Source organism: Homo sapiens, chromosome 4 (assembly GCF_000001405.40).
Source record: "Homo sapiens chromosome 4, GRCh38.p14 Primary Assembly".
In the NCBI taxonomy this organism is placed as follows: Eukaryota; Metazoa; Chordata; class Mammalia; order Primates; family Hominidae; genus Homo; species Homo sapiens.
The window spans coordinates 22,178,671-22,205,181 of record NC_000004.12 but is presented as its reverse complement, the minus strand read 5'-3'; the positions used below and the strand labels follow the sequence as shown (position 1 = coordinate 22,205,181).

The 26,511-nt window shown below is 38.6% G+C and overlaps 1 annotated feature.

Annotated features, from left to right (window-relative positions):
- Positions 579-1,778: an enhancer, noted in NCBI's record as "MED14-independent group 3 enhancer chr4:22205027-22206226 (GRCh37/hg19 assembly coordinates)". NCBI's record gives its function as "activates an origin of replication core promoter dependent on BRD2, BRD4, P300/CBP and CDK7 cofactors, and independent of MED14, by STARR-seq in HCT116 cells {active_cell/tissue: HCT116}" and the evidence as "EXISTENCE:reporter gene assay evidence [ECO:0000049][PMID:35650434]".

Sequence of the window (26,511 nt, the reverse complement as noted above, 5' to 3'; positions counted from 1 at the left end):
GTATTTGGAATGTTGTCTTATTCTAGAAAAAAATATACAATAGGAAAATTGCCTTGCCTCTTATGGGATTCTTTGGTATCTTTCAGATGCAGATAACAGCTTTTAAAACAGCAAATGAATCCACTGATAATATGACTGCCTTGTTGATTCTAAAGGTATTGCAGTTGTCATTTATGATGATGAGGTTCAGAAACTTATGAAATAAATGAACGCATAGACATAGAATAAGAATCTTAAGTATTTGAATAGTGACTGAAATTTAAAAGCCAATAATATTCTGATTTTTTAGAACTCTTCATTGGAAGGGCTATTGAATCCCTAGAAATATTCCTGTAGTTAAGATGAAGTCTAGTTTTCCATGGAAGCCAAGTAGGTCTCTCCTTTGTTATGACTTTTGGAAAATAACATCTTTTTTCCCCTTTCCTCCTCTTCCTCAATCCTCAGACTTCTAAACATTGTTATTCACATTAGAATTGTGCCTTCTGGTTGGTATGATTTGCAAACATGTGTTGACATATAATTCTAGGCCAGGCACCATGCATGGAAATAACAGAACTGGACATATTCTCTGCCTCTGGAAATTCAGATCCTTAATGGAATTCAGTAGCGTTTTTATTATTGCAAAAATTGCTTTCATATCCATCATCTCATTAGCTTTTCACCAACATCTTTGAGGATAGTACCAGTATTTTAGTGAGGTTAAATATGCTTAATGTTACTCAGAGATGAAGTGAGACACAAACGTGTGTTCTACTCTTTTTTCTAAGGTGGTGGTGATGTTTTTCTTGCCATGTGGGATCTGTAGAAAGCCATCCTGTTCTCTTAGAAAATCGTACCTTCCCCTTGCCTTTATAGCTTCCACAACCTCCACCCTCAGGCATATAAGGCTATACCGCACCCTGCTTCCCTTGGGAAAACCTGATATAATCAGGACAATAACAATGGTGAGTTGTGTACCTTAGTCTACCCCAGAGGCTGGAAAGGTAAAAGAAGAACCATATATTTTCTAGACTCATTTGCAGCTAGCGTTCCTTCATGGCTGCTATTTTCCATCAATAAGCACAGCCATGGCAGTGGTCTTCACACGCAGACTTCTGACTTGGAGCCACCAGAATTGGAGCCATGAAGAAAGGCAATTTTCCAAGTCTAGAACTGAGAAAAGAATGTGATGAAAACTTTATACTTCTTACTAAAAAAATACCTAAATACACTTACACATGCACAAAATGTTATTGTAAATTTACTTTATAGTTGTAATTGGCTTCTCAACATTAACTTATATCTCCTCTTCGGTAATTTCAATTCCCATTGACAAGTTCCTTCCCCCAGTGAGTGCAGCCTTGGTGAGGGTGGGAATTGGTGTTGATGACCTCAGCATTTTACTCTTTTCTGTATCCATGCCCTTCAACTTGTGACTTAACAGATACACTTAAAGAAGCAATTGAGTATATTTTCCCTATCCCTTGATTGTGAGTTTGCCCTCAAGAATGTAGTAGGGGTGAAGGTACGTACCACTTCTGGGTTTTAGTCTCAAGAGACCTTGGGAATTTCCCCATTTCTCTTGTGCCTCTGTTTTCACTGTGAGAACATGGCTGGGCTAGTCTGATGCAAGATGAGGGACACATGAAGCAGCGATTCAGAAAGCTGAGGTTATCACAGACCATCCAACTCCATCTGACCCCTAGATATATGAGCAATTTCAACTAAGATTAGCAGAGCTCCCTAGCTGATCACGAGCAGTAATGCAGTAGTAAGTTTTTACTACTTATTGCTGTATACACCATTATAATGGCAATAGGTAACTGCAACATTGGGATTACAAATCAAAATACTGTTCCTTTCCCTGTCCAAATGGTTGACAATGGCCAAAAGCTTGGCCAACTGAAGACTTTAAACTTGAATTGGGGGAGGCAAACATAATAACAAAATTTATTTTCTGGTAATCATTCACTCCAGTTGAAGGACTCAGATGAGACTGCTGAGTAGTTTCTGATACATGCATCCAAGAACACACCCTAACATCTGTGCATTTGACACTATGAACCACATTTTATTGCTCCAATAAATTTATCTTTCTTTTCAAATTTGCCAGAGTTCACTTCTGTGGTTTGCTGTTAAAGTTACTAATACTTTGTTTAAAATTACCTTAAAGCTAAGTGGCGTAAACGAATCATTTTATTTTATGGATGATTTCGTGAGTCAGGAATTAGGGAAAGACTGTTTTTACTTGGAGATTTTTATGTAGTTGAAGTCAGATGTGAGACATTGAAATGTTTAACAAGACTGGACTTTCAAGATAGCTCACCTAACTAACTAGTGATTGTTCTTGGCCATTGGCTGGTGACTCAGCTGTGCTGTGCTGCAGAATGCCTACCTTTGGCCTTTATAGGTACTCTCAGGATACTTGGCATCTTATACAGTAGCTGGCTTCCTCCAGAGTGAATGTCCTGAAAGAAGCAGGCATTCGTCCTCTCTATATGGGAAGGTCAACAAATTTTGGCATGTTTGAGAAAACCACTATATTCTGCCCTCTGGCCACAAATTGGTTTTATTTTCCCACTCGTAAAATATGCTCTCTCCCTCCCCTAAATTTCCCAAAGTCTTGTCCACTAAGATTAGGGTATGAGTCTAAGGCTTTGTGCCAAGGATTTCATCATCTAAATCAGGTCCACTTGTAGATAAGGCTCCTTGGGTTTGATTCTTTGGTCACAGTTCCTCTTAATTTAAAAAATGTAGTGAATTAAAGAAGCAATTTTACTGCCCTTCACCCATCCATTATACTGTACTGCACAGGGGTAGGATGAATGCAGTAAACACTCTAGCTCCAAAACGGGGAAATGGGAGACACATAACAGCCGCTGGCCCATATTACTCTGTAGTCCAGATGGCTGTACTTGACAGTTTGATTAGGACCAAGTTCTGCTCCCTGAAACAAAATTTATAGAGCAATAAATTGAGATTTTATTTCGTGATTAAGATTAGAAATACTTTTTATGAATTGTAATTCTTTCACTCTCATTTTTTCTTACAAAAGTTATGCCAACTTTTTGGAAAAATAGTTGAAAGAGATCTAAATTGTGCTAATACCAGTTTCATTTAGTTTGATTTTAATGAGACATTCAGACACAGAGTGCATGTTGAAGTAGCAATATGCAGGTCAAATTTGATATCCATTTGATTTTGATGTTGATTTTTGTAGGAATAAGTGCCAAAAACCCTGACTGAAACCAAATGTTTATTCTCATTATACTCTTTGTTATAGGAGGATAATTTATCTCTTGAAACACTGAATATTTTTGAGATTCTTTGGGGGTTGAATTCATGATTTCACTTCCTGTGTCCTCAACTCAATGAAGAAATCTTTTTAGGCATTTCATCATTGATTGTTACCTGTGTTTTCAGGAAAAAAATTAGAAAACTTTTTCCATCTAGCAGAAGTAATTTTCAGCAGAAGTTTATAATATTTCCAAGTGCCTATAGACTTCTAAAAAAATGAACTTGATTTTATCATTTTCCAACTTCATTCTACTGAAATGCTTCCTCCAGCACTGGGAGGTTTTCAACCATTTCTGACTCTAATCTCTTCCAATGTGGTGAGCTGGCCAAACGTATAGAGTTGGCCAGGAGCACCCATAAAGTGACTACACGGCTTCCAATTGAATGATTTATCTCATTCTTAAGTGCTCACATAGCTGCCAACTGTGCAAAGACATAAATGGACTTCACCCCTTCAGAGTGTCCTAGAATATGATTTACTTTTCTCATAAAAACATGCAACTTCTGCCCAAACTTCAAGCAAGCCCCTCAAGACTAATTCTCTTGTAAGTCAGAGAACATCTGTGCAGAAGACATCTTGGTATTCTGCATCCTCTGCTAACCAAAACCATCTGAAGAGGCTGTTATTCAAAACCTCACTCAGATGAAATAACACACTTTGAAGGAAGTAGATAACACTTCTAGGACTCTAGGATGTCTGTGATTTCAGAACAAAGCAAAGAAACCTCTTGACATGTACAACTTCCTTCATTAAGGCAGAAAAAAAATTAATATTGTCAAGTATGACAGGTGAAACTTCTGTGAGTTCCAGGAATACTTATGCAAAGGTTTTCCCTGGCAAAGAAATGTCACTATTTTGAGGTTATCGGTTGCATTCACAATTTCTAAAAGGGGCTTAAAAGGGCATTTTTTAAATAGACATGTTAGCTAGAAAATAAATTTAGATACTGGCACAATTGAGAGATAGTGATAGTTCCCTAGCTGACTCTGAAGGAGGATGATTAGGTACATTACTGTCTAAAACATAGTAGAAGGATATCAGCAATTTTGGAGATAATATTATCGATTGAGGCAGTACGTTGATTTTTTGAATTTGCCTATTTCTAGGTCTCCCAACCCCCACTCCCCACTCCCAAATTCATCTGTTGAAGTCCTAATCTCTTGTCCTTGGAACCTGACTGTATTTGGAGATAGGGTATTTAAAGAATCAACTAAATTCAAATAAAATCATTACAGTGAGTCCTAATCCAATATAACCTGGTATTGGATCTGGATTCTGGTATCTTTATCAGAAGAGGAGGTTACAACACAGACTTGTGCAGAGGGATGACCATATGAAGACACAGGTAGAATACACCCATCTCCAAACCAAGGAGAGGGCCTCAGAAGAAAACAATTCTGCTAACACCTTAGTTTTGGACTTCCATCCTCTAGAAATGTGAGAAAATTAATTTCTGTTGTTTAAGTTGCCCAGTCTGTGACACTTTATGCTGGCAGCCCTGACATACATCTGTATTCTTTAAGATCTGACCAACCATAGGAGACTTTTTTATTGTTTGGTTATGTGATAAGCTTTCTTGGAGGATGCTTGGAGGATATCCTGTTTTGGTCAGAACAAATCCAAGTTTTTGTAAAGTTATAATATTTTCAAAGCAAGTCCCCATCTCATGAAAAAGTCCTGTGATTCTTGTTGTCTTACCATGACTGTCACTGAATGTGTTTCTCTAGTTGTGTGGACTTTAAGACTTACTCTGGCACACAAATAAACACTGACATTTGTGTCCCATCTTGCTCAGTAAGAAAGGAAAGCCAGGAGACACCTAAGCTTTATTCCATTGGTCATTTCCAGTGGAAGGTGATCCTGAGGAAAACTCAGAAGTTTCCCTAATAATATGGTAGAGAGTGTTTTTACTAATTCTTATTAGTGGTAAATAATTCTGGGCCTTATTGTGTAATGAATATTTTAATTATTTAATGAATTGCATGGTTTAATTATTTTTGTTATGGCTGGGCCCCGTCATCTGGGAGAAGAAACAAAAGAGAGCCTGGAGAAGACGCATTTGCTTTCTTCATGCCCTGTCCTGGAAGGAACCAACTAACTTCCACTCACATTCCATAAGTGAGAAATAGTCACTTGGCCACACTGAGATGCAGAAAGGCTGGAAACTGTGATCTTTCACTGTGTACCCCATTTGTAGTCACAACACTGTAGCATGGAAAGAGGTGCCCAGATTTTGGTGGAGAGCTGGCTGTCTCTGCCAAAAATGGCCAATGCCTATTCAGTACTCACTGTTTGCTAGATGCTGCTGTAAGCCCTTTCATATGCTTCATCGTTTAATTCTTACGCCAACCTGTTGGTGAGTTCTGTTAGTATTTCCAGAATACAGATGACAAAATTGAGGAAGAATTAAATAAGCTGGTTATACTCAAACAGCTAGAAAATGGAAAGGCAAGATTTCAATCCAGTCCAAGCCATCTGGCCCCAAATTCCATAATCTTAACCATTATACTACACCAATTATTTGTGTTTATTATAAAGGAACTGATTAGATCACAAAATCATGAAAGACTAGGACTTCAAGACCATTTGGACAAGACAGTGAAGGGTATTTTCTCCAAGCTAATTTCATTCCTGTCTTCTTTGTAGTCAATGAAAATAATATTTCTAATATTTCAAAGCTTGGGTAACCCCCATCTCTTACATAGTTTCTTCATCTCACTACCCTATAGAATTATCTTCCTCCGTTTATCTCCCATAGCACTCTGTACCTTGCATCTCTTTCATTTAAAGATTTATTTACTAATTCACTGATTAAGTTATTTATCAATCTATTGGCTATCTTTTGAGCACTTATTAAATTCCAGGTACTGTGGTAGGCACTGGTGATGCACAGAATAGCAAAGGAATTGTTTTTCCAAGGTTTCACAGTCTAAAGGAATATGAATGTGGGAAATAGACATTGAATTGCTTATATTACTATGGAATTCTCTTGTGTTTGTTGTGTTTTAATGGTGAATTTTTGGCTTATAATTTCTACCACTGTTCCTTCCCTCATTGTGTCTTGTATGGTGGGAGACACATAATATGACTTGGGACAATGCCTGTCTTTTAAACATACAAATTTTATTCTTTTAAGTAATTACATATATACATATACATACATACATATATATATACACACACACATACTTTTTTTTATTATACTTTAAATTCTGGGATACATGTGCAGAACGTGTAGGTTTGTTACATAGGTATACATGTGCCATAGTGGTTTGCTGCACCCATCAACCCGTCATCTACATTAGATATTTCTCCTAATACTATCCTTCCCCTAGCCCCCACAACCTTCTCACAGGCCCTGGTATGTAATGTTTCCCTCCCTGTGTCCACATGTTCTCATTGTTTAACTCCCACTTATGAGTGAGAACATGTGGTGTTTGGTGTTCTGTTCCTGTGTTAGTTTGCTGAGAATGATGGTTTCCAGCTTCATCCATGTCCCTGCAAGGGACATGAACTCATCCTTTTTTATGGCTGCATAGTATTCCAATAACACTGTTGGTAGCAGTGTAAATTAGTTCAACCATTGTGGAAGACAGTGTGGCAATTCCTCAAGGATCTAGAACCAGAAATACCATTTGACCCAGCAATTCCATTACTGAGTATATACCCAAAGGATTATAAATTATTCTACTATAAAGACACATGCACATGTATGTTTATTGCAGCACTATTCACAACAGCAAAAGACTTGGAACCAACCCAAATGCTCGTGAATGATAGACTGGATAAAGAAAAGACACATATATATCTTTAACTCATTTGTATTTTAGAATAATATTTCAGCATTGGTTTGAAAATACACCAATGAATAATGAGGTACTCCATTAGAACATAAGAAAAGCTGAACTTAATAGTGGCATCAATATCCCTTGTACCATAAAGCTGCTTGCAAGAATGGTCATTTTTTTCAAATTTGGTGAGTGGAATTTGATCATGGGCACTGGGCTATTGGCAATGACAGGGATAGTGTCCCATAATGAGCAACCAATTTCTAACTCAAATAAATGTCACATTTGCTCACCTTTAGCTGAGCTGAAAATAGCTCACATATTGCATGTAATAATCAATGCCAACTTACAATATTTTTTGTAAGAAGACTAATATAAAGTGCAGCACATTTATAAAACACACACAAACACACAACTGGTGGTTAGATAATCTGTTTAATTACCCATTTAAATCCAAAGTCTCAAAATGTCTTGTGTCCAGAGTTGGGGGACTTTTAATAATTAGTCGGTCATATAGGAAACTCAGAGAAGAAAGCTAGTTGTGCTGTAGTTGCAACAATCAATTTAAAAGTGAGAAAAACTCAATTAACCACCCAGATTGTGTTAAATACATAATAATTTACCTGATTTTTCTCTCCACTGGAAGTAATGCAGTTATAGAAACAGCCTCAAACACAACACCTTAGTTTTAGTTTTCTGGGTTTTAGGGCTTTTCTTTGAGCAATGAGGTAACTGCAACTGAGTTTGAGTAATCACTTTTAAAATTAACATCTCTGTTGGTAAAATGAAGGAAAATTTTGACTCATTGATTTGTATCATTTTGGAGAAGTAATCTTTTATCCTTATGCACCTTAATTCTGAAGCAAATGAATATTTTGTCCAAATTAATTATTATTAATTACCCTAATTTTTACCTTAATTTTCCTAGTAGTGGTTTTTCTTATTAATACTGTTTGTAGGCTGAGGTCATCTAATAGAATAGTTGTAGCTGTTGTTCTGGGGGAATAACAGAAAACATCTCTTTCATAACTATGTAAACTGTCAGAATTTTCACCATATTTTATACATGCATATTTTGACTATTTGCTTCCCCCCAAAATGTGTTGTAGATTACAACGGAAATAGAAAAAAACTGAGTATTTCTCCCTACAAAGGGTCTCTTCTTATAAAAGACCCCCAGGAAAATCCTTTACATGAGATTTGAGGCACAATATTGCCACCAGGTAACACAGTTTATTCTCTTGATAAGCAAATGAAGTGAAGAGACTATGACTCTTGTCTATTTTTAAGTAAGATGTAGTCAGCAGTCTCTAAGGGCAGCCTGTTGACCCCCCACCTCATACTCAGATGCTTGTGTAATCTTCTTCCCTTGAATGTAAGCCAGATTTATTGGCTGGCCTCTAACAAATTGAATAGGGCCAATAGATAGAATTTCAATGCTGAGATTAGGTTATGAAAGTATCGCAAGTGGAATCTAGATTTTTCAACACATTTTCCAATCAATACTTCAGAGAACAAATAATTTCTTTTAATCGAAGGCCGTACTTTTCCAGATTAAAAGGGCCCGCTTCTCATATAGAAGAATAAAAGAAAAAGACCCACACTAAGACCTATCATCAGGAAAATGCAGAACATTAGCATTAAAGAAAGAATTTTGAAAACTGCTAGACAAGGAAAAAAATAGCAGGTCATGTATGAGCAGGAATTAGAATAGCATCAAGCTTCTCAGTAGCAACATTGGCAGTTAGAAGACGACATAAAAATGCTTCTCAGTCCTGGGGAAAATGAATTCTAATTGGAATTATACTCTCAACCAAACTGTAGATCAAGTCTGAGGGAGGAATGACTACACTCTCAGACACACAAGAGCTCAATGAATTTATTGCCCGTGGCCTCTGGTATGGTTTGGCTGTGTCCCCACCCAAATCTCATCTTAAATTCTAGCTCCCATAATTCTCAATGTTGTGGGAGGGACCCAGTGGGAAATAATTAAATCATGAGCATGGTTTTCCACATACTGTTCCTGTGGCAGTGAATAAGTCTCACAAGATCTGATGGTTTTATTAGGGGTTTCCCCATTTGCTTGGTTCTCATTCTTTCTTGTCTGCCACCATGTAAGATGTGCCTTTCATCTTCTGCCATGATTGTGAGGCTTCCCCAGCCATGTGGAACTGTGAGTCCATTAAACTTCTTTTTCTTTATAATTTACCTATTCTGAGGTATGTCTTTATCAGCAGTGTGACTAACACATCCTCTCACTCTGCACATACAGGCAGATAAAAATAATAAACAGTAAAGCATGATATCCACAATACAGGGAGCCCCCAAAGTAGACAGTGATGAAAAGAAAAGAAGGCCATTATGCCTGGCATGCAGCTGCCCAAAGGGAACCCAGGAAAGAAGGACTCCATGAGAGAGATCTTCAAGAAAATATTAGATAAAGTCCTTGATGTGTTTAACCTTACTGGGATACATTTTGCAGCTCAGGCAAAGAGAAGGATACAGCAATGATTAGCACAGAGGACACCGAGCAAACAAAACCTTTGTCTTCCTTAGTAGGAGAAAATTAGATGATATCTCTAGCTGCTAAATTAAAATAATACCAAACAAGATATATTATTTTAAAATTAAGTGGTGTGATGGTTAGTTTTATGTGTTAACTTGACTGGGCTAAGGGATGCTCAGATAGCTGATAAGAAATTATTTTTGGCTATGTCTATGAGAATGTTTCCAAAAGAGATTGGCTTTTGAATCAGTAGACTTAGTAAAGAAAATCACCCTCCCCAGTATAGATGAGAATCATCCAATCTGTTGAGGAACTGAATAGAAATAAAAGGCAGCAGAAGTGTGAATTCTTTCCTTCCTTGAGCTGTAGTATCCATCTTCTCCAGCCCTTGTGTTCCCAGACCAAATCGAGGGTCATGCTGCTTATTCTCGCAGCCCAATAATGAGAAGCAGATGAACTGGGGAAGAAGGGAGTTTATTTCTGTAACCAGGTAGAGGGAGAAGGCCTGGAAAATATTGCCAGGCCAACTCAAAATTACAAAGTTTTTAGAGCTTACATTCCTTCTAAGCTATATGTTTACGTGTAAGTGTGCATTCATCTAAAGACAAAAGTCTAACTTCTTCTAATCTATAACTTAGATCTGAGTCCTGAAGACCTTCCTCTGAAGCCTCAGTAAATGTACCTAATCTAAATGGGTCCAGGTGCCAGGGGTGATTACACTTATCTTGTCTCCTGCTAAATCATAAAGGTTTGGGGAGTTCCTTCAGACTCCCAATAAACTTGTTTGTAGAGGTCTGAGGAGTTTATTCAAACCCTCAATAGAACTTGTTTAATCCTAAACAGGTCCTGTTAAGAATTCCTTCATTATCCTGTCATCCTTCAAGGCCCAGGAAAGGCCTGGGCAAAATTCTTGGTGGGCTTTTGTTACATTCCAGCCTTTGTATAAGGCCACTGGTTCTATTAGCTGGCTTTCTGAAAAGATTATCAAAATAGATAGACCGTTAGCCAGACTAATAAAGAAGAAAAGAGAGAAGAATTCAAGAGACACAATGAAAAATGATAAAGGGGATATCACCACTGATCCCACAGAAATACAAACTACCATTGGAGAATACTATAAACACCTCTACACAAATAAACTAGAAAAATCTAGAACAAATGAATAAATTCCTGGATACATACACTCTCTCAAGACTAAACCAGGAAGAAGTAGAATCCCTGAATAGACCAATAACAAGTTCTGAAATTGAGGTAGTAATTAATAGTCTACCAACCAAGAAAAGCCCAGGAACAGACGGATTCACAGCCGAATTCTACCAGAGGTACAAAGAGGAGCTGGTACCATTCCTACTGAAACTATTCCAAACAATAGAAAAAGAGGACTCCTCCCTAACTCATTTTATGAGGCCAGCAACATCCTGATACCAAAACCTGGCAGAGACAAAACAAAAAAAGGAAATTTCAGGCCAGTATCCCTGATGAACATTGATGCGAAAATCCTCAATAAAATACTGGCAAACCAAATCCAGCAGCACATCAAAAAGCTTAACCACCACAATCAAGTCGGCTTCATCCTTGTGATGCAAGGCCAGTTCAACATATGCAAATCAATAAACATAATCCATCACATAAACAGAACCAATGACAAAAACCACATGATTATCTCAATAAATGCAGAAAAGGCCACCAATAAAATTCAACATCCCTTCATGCTAAAAACTCTCAATAAACTAGGTATTGATGGAACAAATCTCAAAATCATAAGAGCTATTTATGACAAATCCACAGCCAATATCATACAGAATGGGCAAAAGCTGGAAGGATTCCCTTTGAAAACTGGCACAAGACAAAAATGCCCTCTCTCACCACTCCTATTCAACATAGTATTGGAAGTTCTGGCCAAGGCAATCAGGCAAGAGAAAGAAATAAAGGGTATTCACATAGGAAGAGAGGAAGTCAAATTGTCTCTGTTTGCACATGACATTATTGTATATTTAGAAAACCCCATAGTCTCAGCCCCAAATCTCCTTAAGCTGATAATCAACTTCAGCAAAGTCGCAGGACACAAAATCAATGTGCAAAAATCACAAGCTTTCTATACACCAATAACAGACAAACAGAGCCAAATCATGAGTGAACTCCCATTCACAATTGCTACAAAGAGAATAAAATACCTAGGAATACAATTTACAAGGGATGTGAAGGACCTCTTCAAGGAGAACTACTAATGACTGCTCAAGGAAATAAGAGAGGACACAAACAAATGAAAAATCATTCCATGCTCATGGATAGGAAGAATCAATATTGTGAAAATGGCCATACTACCCAAAGTAATTTATAGATTCAATGCTATCCCCATCAAGCTATCATTGACTTTCTTCACAGAATTACAAAAAAACTAAATTTCATATGGAACCAAAAAAGAGCTTTTACTCTTTAACCACTCAGTAAGTGCTGAAACAGCTCTTACATAGGCCTGTGTTAGTGAGACCTGGCCTGCCACACTTGGACATCAGAACTCCTGGATCTCAGGCCTTTGGACTTCACGATTTATGACAGCAGCAGCCACCTCTTCTACCTCCAACCCCCAGATGGCATATTATGGGATTCTCAGCCTCCATAATTGTGTGAGTCAATTTCCATAATAAATCTCCATTTGTTCTGTTTCTGTAGTGAACTCTGACTAATACAGGTAGCAAATTTTGGAAGAAAGAGTGAAAAAGTAGGAAGTGATGACTCTGGAGATTAAGAAATGACTAGAAAGTTACAGAAAAAAGGATATTTTTCAAAGAACTGAGTTATATTCTTTAACTGTTAGATTTATAATTTTAAAAATAACAGTAAGGTGCTAAGACTCATAATCATAAACCCTAAAATGTCTCTTGTTAGTTTTCTTCCTTCCAGGGAAGGGGACGCTCAGGCTTTTACATTCTCACTGAAGTGTCATGCCAATAGATAAGGACCCCACAAGTTCCCATTATCCAATTCCCATGTATTGCTCCTTTTTTCTCCCTATGTCACTTTCTCTCCTCCCCCATCTGTATTAGGAAAGCTCCTAGGAAAGGGGTTTATGTAACCACGACCTTCTATCTTTTCCTTTTCTCTCAGTAGAATTTTAACATTCAGCCTCTGGCAGGCACTCAGGCATCAGATGGGGTCACTGGCGGGTCTCGCTAATGATTTTCCCTCTTCTGTGTTTTTTTGTGACTGCTTGAAAACAATAGATCTCCCATTTAGTCCTGCTCAGTCTTAGGGCACCTCTGGAGTTTGTCCTGCATGTTCCACCTTAGCCTCATCTTTTACCCTGGAAATTAAATTGTCTCTTTGCTCATTTAGGCTTTTGAGTGAGATTGCATGCCATTAAGATGTGCTAAGATGTACTTGCCTCTCATTGATTTCCACATGAATTCCGGATAGCCAGGCTGTTAAAAAAAACGCTGCCTGCTGAGTTCCGTTTATGAATGCACTCCCTTGGGGGGAAGTCCACAAACTCCCTATGAGGGCCATTATCACAGTGGTGCTAGCTGGCCACCTGGGTGAAGACAGGGGAAATGTGTGCAGGGGCTTTTGTCCTTAAATTTCTTTTCCTTTTCTCGGTTCCAAAATACTGGGTTCCAGAATACTGAATCTGATCCAATTCTTTAGCAAAATCAAGGGAGGGAATTTGTAGGGGATTTCCTTTCCTTCTATTACTGTATATTTTTTATGTCCAAAATGTTGGAATATGCTATTGAAATGGGAGAATTCCCTGATTCCCCTCACAGGACCTGCAACAGGGGTATGACTTACCTGCTTGGTTGCCCCACAGCTCAAACCCCTAGTGGGAGCATGCAGACGGGCAGGTGCAGAGGCTGAGGTGAGTGCTTTTGGGCTCCAGCCCCATGGAGCATCTAGGGGTGGGTGTTTGCAACTCCTGAAGCCCAGGTGGGCATGTATTACAAAGCTCTTTCAGATTTGCTATCTGTAGACGGCTTGTGTGTTAATCAGTTCAATGGACCCTCTGCCTTATTGAAATGGAAGAGGGCCAGTGTGACAGTCTTCTGTATCCTGAGCTCTTGCACAGTGTCCTGAAAGAATCGGATCACATGCAGGCTTGAAGGATGAGTGCAAGATTTTATTGAGTGGTAGAGGTGGCTCTCAGTGAGATGAATGGGAAGCCAGAAGGGGGGATGGAGTGGGAAGGTGGTCTTCCCCTGGAGTTCGGCTTTTCTCCAACCACCCCTGGCCAAACTCCCCTCCGTGTCCAGACATCCCTCCTCTTTTCTCTTTCTCTGCCTCATTGTTACACTGTTGCTGGTCTGCTGGTCCTGATGTTCAGCTGCTTGTGTGTGTGCCTGCTAAGGGTTTATATGGGGGCGGGAGAGGTGGTGGGGTGAGCCAAAAGGCAACTTTTTGGGTGCAAAACCAGAAATGCCTGTCCTCCTTTAGGGCCACAGGTCTTCAGGCTTGAGGTTGGGGCCTTTGCCAGAGAACCACCCTCTTCTAACCAATATTTCCCTGACTCCTGTCCATATCACTATGACAGGGAGAAGGAGAGACCACTATGGGAGCATGCCAGAGGGATGACTAATCCAGTCTTAGTGAATCATGGACAGCTTTCCTGGGCAGGGGATTTTTAAGCACAGAGCTAGGAGGATGCAATTATAAGGAGCTCTTGAGCAGTTAGGAGCTAGTTGAGAAGAAAAATCAACTCTGTGTAGAGTAATACTAACAACCAAACCAAAGATCATCCTTTACCTTTACATAGTACTTCAGTTTATAACACCATCTCCATGTGTAGGATTATCAAATAGGCAAATTAGGCCTGAGTTCGGAGCATCAGCAAAAGTGATGTTAGGGACTAAATGTTTGTATTCCTTCCCCAGATTCATATATTGAAGCCCTAAACCCTGATGCAATGGTATTAGCAGGTGAGGCCTTAGGGAAGCAATTAGTTTTAGATGAGAGTGAGTCCCCTGTGATGGGATTAGTGTCTTTATAGAAAAAGGAATGGACACTAGCACTTCCTCTCTCTGCCATAGCCACATAAGAACACAGTGAATAGGCATTGTCTGCAAGCCAGGAATAGTCCACACTAATAACTGAATCTGCGAATCTGCCAGCACCTTGATCTTGGACTTCCCAGCCTCCAGAACTGTGAGAAATAAATGTCTGTTGTTTAAGATACCTAGTATTTTGTTATAGCAGCCAGAGCTGACGATGAGCAGTGGGGCCTAAAAAAATGGGGCTAAGTCCAGCTTTAGTAAATGTACCCAAAATGATTCAATGAGAAAATCAACAAAAGTCCAATTTAATTGTATATTTTATTTAAGTTTTGTATTTTTGTCCATTGCATTAGTTTTCTTTTGTAGAATATTGTGGAATGGGGTGTTGTAAAGTTGGGGAGACATCACAAATTTCTAATGGAAATGACCAGTCATTTTACATACATTTTTCTTACAACAGCCTTGAGAAAGCCTGGATAGGCTGAATAATAAATTATTATTATTGTTGCCATGTTAATAGATGACCAAGCTTAGGCCAGAGAACTGCCAAGGGACTCAGTCAAAAAAATCATGCTGCTGGTAAAAGGCAGAGGTGGGACTTGAGCTCAAAAATCCCACTGAGGCAGGGCGCAGTGGCTCACGCCTATAATCCCAGCACTTTGGGAGGCCGAGGCAGGCAGATCACCTGAGGTCAGGAGTTTGAGACCAGCCTGACCAACATGGAGAAACCCCATCTCTACTAAAAAAAAAAAAAAATTAGCCAGGCATAGTGTTGCATGCCTGTAGTCCCAGCTACTCCAGTGGCTGAGGCAGGAGAATCACTTGAACCCCAGAAGCAGAGGTTGCAGTGAGCCAAGATTGCTCCATTGCACTCCAGCCTGGGCAACAAGAGCAAAACTCCATCTCAAAATAAATAAATAAATAAATAATTAAATAAATAAATAATAAAAATAAAAAAATCTCATCGAGAGACCATGGTTTGTAAAGTCAGGTAGACCTGCATTCAAATCCCTTTTCTACCTTGTGATGACATTCCTTAACTTCACTTACCTTCATAAGTATCTCATAGAAACAAATATCTCATATCTACCTGACGTCACAAATTATTGTCTCTTAATGGGATTTTTGAGGTCAAGTCCCACCTCTGCCTTTTATCAGCAGTATTTTTGACTAAGTAAGTCCCTTGGCAGTTCTTTGGCCTAAACTTGATCATCTATTAACATGTTGATAACAATAATAATAACAATCTCATAGAGTTTTTGGGAAGATTAAATGAGGTAGTATAGAAAGCATCTATCCCAAGGCTAGCATGGAGTATGTGCATGTTTATTAAATGGTAGTTATTATCTCCTGGTTCCTGGGTTCAATATTGTTTCTGTTCTGCAGCACATGACTAAGAATCCATTAGATGCAATGAGAGATATTAGGGAATTAAGTATTTAGCTTGCTGTCAGGACTGGAAGAGCTATTAGAGCACTGGAGTGATTTTGATGATACTGATGATAAACATTGGTGCTCTCTGCCCTGTTTCTTCCATTTTATAGAAAGTCAAAACAACTGAGGTTATTTTTTTTGTCCAGATTCTATATAAAATTATTTCAAGTGCCCATCTTTTCCACAAGTCATTTTTCTCTATTTATTCAATCAGAATGCAGTGGTCACAGAGGAATCTCTGGGTCCTGCAAAGCTGGATTCAAATCCCGGCTTCTTTTACTTGCTAATGCATTATGTTGGATGCATTATTGAAACTGTCTGTAAGTCAGTTTCCATGCCCATAAAATGAGAATAAGACCAATGTCTACACAGTGGGTGGTTGAAAGGATTAAATGAGTTAAGACATGGAAATTGCCTTTAAAAGTGCCTAGTACAAAGTGAGGTTCATTGTTTTATTGAGCATTTACTATAATAATGCCAGGTCCTATTTTAAGCACCAGGGATATTATCAATAAATAAGATTGACAGTTTCTCTCCACAGACCTTACATTCTAATGTGGGCAAATAAGTAAGAGTTCTGAAACTCTGAGATGTAAGATGAAGATCCGCTTTGATGCTGTTTGATTAGAATGGAACAGCAAACGTTTCCATTGTTCCTCTGGGTTTTGCCAGATCGTTCATTCAGAACCCCGATGATATTTCCTTCAGTCTGTGGGCAAGGCTTTACTTATTTTTTTTTCTTTTAGGAATGACTTCCCATAAACTGATACTTATAAATTCATATAAAGCAGCTTCTTTATAAAAACCATTATATGGAGGCCAGATTTTTAAATGTATCTACAAGACCGAAGATTAGAACTGTCTAGTTTTGAGTTTATTTTTAACATATAGCCATGAGTTAGGAGCCTAAGTTAGGTTCCTGCCTGAGTTAGGAGCACATAATCTTTGTATCATAAAATTTTCATCATGTTAACTAAGACTTTTCATCATATTAACTAAAAGTTTTTTTGTTTTGTTTTGTTTTTGTCTTTGTCTCAAGATTGGTTTGAATATTTGAGGAAGCCATTCATTAATTTTTTTTTTTTTGAGACAGAGTCTGGCTCTGTCACCCAGGCTGGGGCACAATGGTATGATCTCAGCTCATCACAACCTCCGCCTCCCGGTTCAAGCGATTCTCCTGCCTCAGCCTCCTGAGTAGCTGGGATTACAGGCATGCGCGACCATGCCCAGCTAATTCTGTATTTTTAGTAGAGACGGGGTTTCTCCATGTTAGTCGGGCTGGTCTCGAACTCCCGACCTCTGGTGATCCACCCGCCTCAGCTTCCCAAAATGCTGGGATTACAGGCAAGAGCCACCGCGTCCAGCCCATTTCATTCATTCTTAAGAAATAAATGTTGAGATAGTATCTAATATTTTTCCTTTTAACTCCTGTAGTATTTTTATAGCAACTGCAATCTAGTTTTAACTACTGTACCTTTCAGACCCAGGGGAATCCCATTGAGTCATAACCAGAAATTTGGCAATAGTCAAATTAATATGGACACATTGCCTTTATTTTCTGCCTATTAGTGCACACATAAAGCTTAACAGAAGCTCACAAGTAACTTGGGCTCATTCCAAACCTAAGTTACTGAACACCTCATTCTGGGTAGGTAATATACATATGCTCATATCAGAAAAGGCAGAATGTCATTGGATAATTGAAAGGCTGGATTCCAAGCAGGCATGGTTTCCTTTGTCAATAGCACAGTGACATTTCCTCTGTGTCATTTGCTACCCACAGAGTAGGAAATTACCCATGATAATAGCAGAGAGCCAGTGGTTCTTTGTATGTGATAGACTCTGATTACTTAATCTCATCTGACTTTCATGTTTTATCACGGCTCAGATGCAGAATGGATATATTTATTAGTATCTGGAAATGGGCTCATGGGTACTTCCCAACATGCAGAAGAATTTAGAACCATTTATACGATCATTCAAATGTCAAATGTGGAATTTAACCAACTCCTTCATAGTAGCCATTTATGATATTTCTTGTCAGAATCTCTTGTCTTGGGAAATGCATCCCCATCCCTCATTCTGCATCCCAGCCCATGTGTTTGTGGATAGTTTTCTATACTTTAGCATAAATCTAACCCCAATCCCCCATCAAACTCTAGTGGCAAAGTTGAGTTCGGATTTAAGTGGAGTTTTTGCACTATTGACAGGCTGATATTTTACCAGCAGGCGCTGGCAAGTCTTTACAGGAACACTTGTTCTATCTTGTAGGTTGAATATTTTGAATATAGTCTTGTAGCTCCATGAACACACTATCCCCTGCCTAGGAGCAATCGCATATTCATTTAGTACATAAAGATAGATCTTTGTGTTTCCAGAGAGTGAAGAATCATCAGTTTAATTTCAGAGAACTTCTAGAACACACAGCTTTGGGGAAAATGATGAGTGATTCCTGTGCTGACCATCTTGGCATCACCTTCCCCCCACCTTTTAATAAAACATAGAGCAACGCACTGATGCTCTTTAGCAAGAAAAATAACATGTCAAAAAACGTTGGTATAAAATTGTCTATTAATCTCCTTTGAGTGCCATCTGAAATCACTGACTTGCTTTACTCCAGCACAATTTTTTTTCCTTAATTAAGCAGCATTGGCACTTGTGAAGCACCATGCATCTTTTTACATTTAAAATAGAATGTAACTGAAGGAAATGCATGTTTGAGTTTATAAGCCAAAATCACAACAGCAACACCTGGCAAATTGATGCGCCTAAATATTTGTTTTTCAAATCAAGTATTTAGGGTCTGAAACATAAGAAATCCTGGCTAACATTTATAAGTATGGACCTTGTTTTAGACATTGTCCTAAGGACGCACATTAAGTCAGTTAATGTACGCAAAACCTAATGAGATAGTTACAATCATTATCTTGATTTTACAGATGAGAAAACTGAGACATATGAGTTAAGATAATATGCCTAGAAGGTGATATTCAAACCTAGGACTCAAACTGAGGTCTGTGACTCGAGAGCCTATGCCAATAAACACTGCAGTATGAGCCTCTTCACATAAAATGGGGGCTGGGAGTAATATTGATCTTTATTCAAAAGCCAAGGTATTAGAAAGCATACTTTATATGCTGCAACTTTTTAGCTTTTGCTCTGCCCAACCTACAGATGGCCTGGGGATGTTAACTGCATGTGTTCCAGAGTACGATCTAAATCCAATTCACATATAAAAATTAACTATTGCCTGTCCATCCTGTGGCTTGAACAAATGGCACCTTTTAACACAGGAAGTCATTAAGCCAGCACACTGATCTATCCATATAGCTTTTTCCACATCTTTCTTTGGGCAGATGTACATTTTTTCAGCACTGGTAGCAATTCAGCAGGAAAACAGCTCAGGTTCCATGGAGTAGAACATGGATGGAGAAATGAAAGCTCCTGGATTGAGATCTCAGTTTTATGCTTGGCATGTTCTACAGTAGACATGAGACAGAATGAAATTGGATGTGAGCCACTTGGATACTAGTGTTCTGTTTGTAAATAACTTTCTCCATCTAGTTTTTAGCTTTTTCATTTGAATAATAAAAACATCGGATCAAGTGATAGCTATGTTACTGTCTAGCTTGGAAAAACCTTCCATGCAATTGACTTATCACGATGAATCTCTCTTATCTATGTGAATATATAATGCAATGAGGTGTGCATTCATTTTCTTTTTTTTCTTTTTTCTTTTTTTTTTGAGATGGAGTCTCGCTGTGTCGCCCAGGCTGGAGTGCAGTGGCACAATCTCGGCTCAATGCAAGCTCCACCTCCCGGGTTCACGCCATTCTCCTGCCTCAGCCTCCCGAGTAGCTGCAACTACAAGCGCCCGCCACCACGCCCGGCTAATTTTTTTTTTGTACTTTTAGTAGAGACTGGGTTTAACCGTATTAGCCAGGATGGTCTCGATCTCCTGACCTCGTGATCCGCCCTCCTCGGCCTCCCAAAGTGCTGGGATTACAGGCGTGAGCCACTGCGCCCGGCCGGTGTACATTCATTTTCTATTGCTGCATAACTAATTACTACAAAAACAGCAGGTGATAACAATGTCCATTTCTTATCTCACAGTTCTGTAGGTCAGAATTCTGAGCAGTACTCAACTGGTTTCTCTGCTCAGTGTCTCCAAAGACTACATTCTTATCTGAGATTGAGGGTCTTCTTCCAAGCTCTTTTGTTGCTGGCAAAATGGAGTTCTTCATGGCTGTATAAGTGTGGTTTTCACTGTTTTACCATATATTAACTAGGGGCCGTTCTCAGATTTTGAAACCCACCAGCTATTCTCAACTGCATTGCCCTCTCTACCATGTGGCAGTGTGCTCCTTTAAGGCCAGGGGGAGAATTTCTCTCACTTTGCATAACTGACCTCTTTTAAAGACTCAGCTGATTAAGTCGAATCTCCTAAGGATAATCTCTTTTTTGATTATCTCAAAGTCAATTGATTAGGGATTTTAATTAATTACATCTGCAAAATCCTTTCTGCTGTATAACATATCATCATGGAAGAGATGTCCTATCATATTCACAAGTCCTGATTACAATCATAGAACACAGAGAGGATTATGCGTACACCAGGGCATGACAATCTTGGGGAGCATATTAGAATTCTGCCTGCCAAAGACTGTCTGAAGAAGTGGAACCTGAAGCCTTGTTCAGTGATAGAAACTGCCAATAGAAGTCATCAGCAGGCTGCATTGGAAAAGATCTACCATGTATTTGTGTCTTGACTGCCTGGAAAATATGCATAGGAGCCCAGTTAACTTCAGAAAAAAGAATGTCAAGTACCTAAAAGCTTTTCTCTCAAAAACTTCATGTTTTGAGAAACTCTGCTATTAAACCCAGAATGCCTTCATTTGAATCCAGGGATCACAATCTCACAAGCTTGTGAACCTAACAACTGCATAACCTTTGCATGCTATTTAAAGTTTCTAGGCCTGTATCCTCATCTCTTGTAGAGGAATTTACCTTATAGGGTATTTTGAAAATTGAATTATTGAATACATGTGAAGTATTTAAAAGAATGGTGAAAACATAATGACTAACACAGAGAGCTTCACTTTTTATTTTATTTAAAATAATCCTATGTTCCAACTTCCTATGGAACAAGCACTGTCATAAGAACTCTGAGTTAGGCACTATTATATTATCCCCATTTTGTAGATGAGGAAACTGAGGCACAAAGAATTTAAGTAATTTGTCCAAAGCCAAAGTGCTGATAGGCATGGCCTTAGAATTTGAAGCCAGGCAGTCTAGCCATTAATGGAGTTTACTAGCAGAAAAGACACTGAAGGAAGCTCGTCTTGCAAGAAGGAAAAAAACCTAAACTGGCTGCTTTCCATCAAAGCCTGGGCTTAAGTTGTTGGGAATTGGGTTAGGAGTTGGTTTTAGCTCAGCTTGTGGATGAAACAGAATGCCCTTCCCAGATAGTTATCCTCTGTTGAGCAGAATGCTTTGGCATAAAATAAACTCCAGGAGCACAAACTGATTGTCCTGTTTATGAATGGTTCTCAACAGCCGAAACAGAGATTTACTTATGGTTGGTGCTCGCAATAGACTAAACATTTGTCTGCCCCCAAAGTACTTAAACCTCAATTTTATTAGAAGGTGAGGCCTTTGGCAGATTATGAAATCACAAGGGTGGAGCTCTCAGGAATGATACTATTGTCTTTATGAAAGGGACTCCAGGTTGATTGATCTTCACCCTCTTTCCACCATGTGAGCACGCGGTGAAGCATTGGCAGTTTAACCTGGAAGAGAGCCCTCATCAGAACCCAATCATGCTGGCACCCTGATCATCTCACACTTCCATGCTTCTAAGCTCTAAGGAATAAATTTTTGTTGTTTACAAGCCACATACTCTATAGCATTTTGGTACAGCAGCCTGCAATGATGAAGACAATGTTAAATGAAAAATGATTAAATGCATGATTGCAACTTAAATCATGAACCTTGGGAAGCCCATTGAACAACCTTGGCTGAGTAAAAGAGTGCTGAAAGAATGGACTATCTTCTTTCAAGAAGACTCAGGAGCCCCCACAGGGATCTCTTGTAGAGCAGGAATTAGAGAAATATAACATGAGATATTCTGGCTCAAGATGGAGACTGAACTTAACTCTGAGGAGAAGCGACTTTCTTTCCTCTCCCACTAAGCCTTGAGATACTACTACCAGGCCCCATTGCAACAGTAGAGACATACAGCACTAGGTTATATAGATTTTCAGTAGCCTCATCACAGCAAAGCAAGAGATGGCAGTACCAAATGGGGCCTTTGAATGGACTCATGTTACCCAGTTTTCCTGCAGTAAAGGCATTTTAAAGCAGGCAGCCTCTTTAAGAAATTAGATTAAAGAAAGACCTAAGACCTAAGAAAGTTCAGGGGAGGAAGGAAAGTCTGTGAAGAAAGACTTCTCACTTTTCTAGTCATGTGGAGAAGGGATTGTTATCTTTAGAAACATATCTGTCATAAAAACATGAAATTTGAATATTTAGTACCCAAATCTTCTTGTAAGGGTCATAGTCATTGATGTTTGAGTCCGATGCCAAGACAGCAAATGTTATTCTCATTTCAAAAGAAATTGAAATGATAATGCTGTCCATTGAGTCAAATCCATGAAATAATCAAGAGAATCTCCTAGCTCTTGCATGCTCTCCAACCAAAATCTTCCATTTTGCAGAATTTTTATGCCTCAAAACACAAACACAGTTAATCAGATAGGAAGGTCCCACAGGAGTTAAATGTCTTTTTATTAATCATGATTCAACACTCAGACACAATCTATTTCACCAAAATAGTATTCCAAACCATGTTTTGGAATATCACACTCTCCAGGGAAGATAGATTTTATGGTATTGTCTTTTGCTAGTGGTAGAATTGTGAAATTTATTATCCTGCTGTTACAGACCTTTTAAAAACACAGCTGGGTGACCAAAGACAATGAAGTGCCCCAAATGAAGTTTATCTCAAGGCCTTAACTGATAGCATTCTCCTATTTCTTATTTTTCATGCCCAGCTTGCTGTGATACCACTGGGAACTTGTTAACTCAGCAGCATTTATCATGATTCTGTTTTGTTGAACAAGTACAATACAATCTTTTTTTCCCCATTTAATCAATAAGTAGATGTAGGAATGAGGTACAGCAGGGAGGAATCATGTTAGATTAATGGTTTCTGACTTATGGTAAAATTCATCTTGAATATTGCACTTATAGTATCTTCTGAGACAGCCTCTCCTGGGAGCAAAATATTCCCAAATAATTCAACTGCATTGCTGTTATACATCATGACTGCTATTTCATCTCTTCACTCAGGGGAAAAATAAAAAGCATGTTAATCCATCAAGATCCATGTTATTTAGAAGACAGACTTTTGCAGACAGAATGAACACTAATTGGGATAAGGGGATAATGGAAAAAGAAAGGAAATACTGGAGATCTATCTATCTATCTATCTATCTATCTATCTATCTATCTATGTATCTATCTAATCTATCATTTTTCTCTATCTATCTATCTATCTATCTATCTATCTATCCATCCATCCACCCATCTGTCTCTATCATCTATCTATCTATCTATCTATCTATCTATCTATCTATCTATCTATCTATCTATCTATCTATCTTTCTATCCATCCATCCACCCATCTGTCTCTATCATCTATCTATCTATCTATCTATCTATCTATCTATCTATCTATCTATCTATCCATTCTACCTGTCTATCTACCTACCTACCTATTGACTAGATATTGAATGTACATTTAACTTCCTTTATGTAGTGAAGGAGGTCCTAGGCTTATTTTATGAATAAGAAAAGGACTGTGAGTATGGCAGAGATTCAGGACGCTTGAATCATAGGCCTAAGGTCCCAAGTCAGAAGGTGGCAAACTCAGTTTCTGACTGAAGACTGTGTAATTCAAAAGCCTTGTTTATTTTCTTCTTCTTTTCTTTCTCCCAATAGGCCACAATTCTCTGTCTTTGAGTTTGGTTTTACAGTGATGAAATTTACTATCATAATTTAAAGTGAGGACTTTGGTGGGAATTTCCCCCAAAATAGAATAGTAGGGTTTTGTTTGACTTCTGCTCTTAGCACTCTTTTTCTATAGTAAAATAAGACTTAAGGAGATGTGATTGAAAGAGGTAGGTTTAACGGGAGGAAAGACTTGCAGTTGATGGATACAAAAGGCACTGGTGGAATAAAAATGAGTTGTAGGGTATAAGAAATACCAAATCAGGTTTTAAGTGTCCTAAGTAAATACGAAGAGAAAATGATTTGTGTTCTGGTGATGCTCACAGTAACATGCACCTTATGGATCCTTCTTGTCTGTTGTGAAGAGTCTCCAGACCTGGGCGAGGGGTTACATGACTTGGCCAGGGCTGGTGTGACAAAGTAGTGCAAGCTGGGTGGTCTGAACAACTGCAGTGTATCACTCACAGTTCTGGAGGCTAAAAGTTTGGAATCATGGCATCCTCAGAGTTGGTTCCTTGTGAGGGCTGTGAGGAAAGAATCTGTTCCAGGCCTCTCTCCTTGGCTTGTAGGGGGCTGTCTTCTCACTAAGTCTCTTCATTCATCTGCTCTCTATGTGTGTCTCTGTGTTCAAATTAACCCTTTTTATAAGGATACCAGTCATACTGGATTAGCTCATTTTAGCTTGATTACCCCTGTGAAGACCCTATTTCCAAATAAGCTCCCATTCTAAGGTGCTGGGTGTTAGGATTTCAACTTAGGAATCTTGAGCAGGAGGCACACAATTCAGCCTATCATAGTGGTGAAGTGATGTATAGAAGAAAGCATAGCTTTGGAGTCAGAAAGACATGGGTTTAAGTTAGGAAAAACACTGCCTAGCTCCTTGAGCAAAATTAATTTATCTGAATTTTAATGTCCCTATTTACAAAATAGTCATAATAACACTAGACTTGCAGGGTTGTTTTAGAGATTAAATGAGTATTACATGTAGAAAACATTGTATCTGGGACATGGTTGGTACTCACTTAAAAAAAGTTAGATTTTTCATGCTTAACTTAGATAATCACTAATAAGGGAAATATAGATTGAAGAAAAATAAGTTGATGGAGTAGAAAAATATTGTGAAGACATTGCGTAGCTCTTCCAAATGTGGCCATCCTTTGTGTAGTGACAACTCTGTTCTCACAGATATGTTTTGCCTGGTTCTTGGAAGGCCCCTAACATAAAATACTGAGGTGTCTGAAAAATCTACCATTAAATTTATTTCAGCTCTTGAAGGCTTTAGGAAATAGATGTCAAAGGAGGAAGGGATAGTGAGGAAACCAAGGATATTGAGATGAACCCACCCCAAGTCAAATTTTACCTGCATCACAGTTTGCTAAGGCCAGCTCTGCTCCAAAAATCCCAAAATGAAGCACATTGGAACTTGGAGGGTTGCTAAACTTAGAGATGAACTAGTCTTGATTTCATTTTGAGGGAAAGCCTATCAGGGAAAATGAGTCAGAAAGAGTTATTGCTCTAAGGGGCCTGAGCCAAGGCTTCCTTTTTGCTGTTACCTACCATTTTCCCTCTAGCAATCATTTCCAAAGTAGAATTTTACATTCAAATGCTTTTCTTTCTTCCACTCTCTTTGGAACAACAATATATGAAATCATTCCAGAAGGGAGAACACCTTCTGTGAGGAGATTAACCTGACATGTGATAGAAAGAAATGGAAGATAATAGAATGACATTAGAATGGACAATTTCTGGAAATGAGGGAGGTTTGGTATTCCACTTAGGAATGGGTGTTTAGGAACTTCTGAATGCAATGCCCAAGCAATGATTCACTCCACTTGGCATGAACACTTGGACATTTCAGTTCAGATATCATTATGATAAAGTATAATTTCCCTCGGCTGTGGGGTTTGCTCTGACTCAGCTGACAACCCACCACATTTCCCTCACTTGGGTCATGACTAACCACACACACACACCCATACCAATGAGAGTCATTATGTTGTCCCACTAAAGAAGCAATTTAGGTTGTTATGATCACAAAGGCACATTTGGAATGATACATTTATCAAAGGAAACAAACAAACAAAAGCCCACTGTTACACCTTCAGGAAGAAATACTCGTTAAGTATTGCATATTATATTTGTTATTCAGGTTTTTTACCAGGTACCTACTCTCTGAAGGTTGTTTGGAACCAGTATCAAAACATTTGAAAATAATTCACGTGAATTGAGTCTATAATAAAGTTCCCCATAAAACAGAAGAACATGGCCAGAAAGCTTTATTGTTCTGACAGACCTAATCTGAGAAAATAGGTTTGTGTCCTCTACTAGACATGAGCATATGTTATGAAGGGATAATATATTTCAGATTTGTTAATGTTATCCCTGGCATCTAAGAGGTTTAAAAGTAGTTAGTTAAAGGCAAAAGATTCATTACTTTAAAAATGAATCAGTTAAAGTCAAATAACCCATCTCCAATTTGTCATTATCCGAAATATGAAGACTCAAAATTAA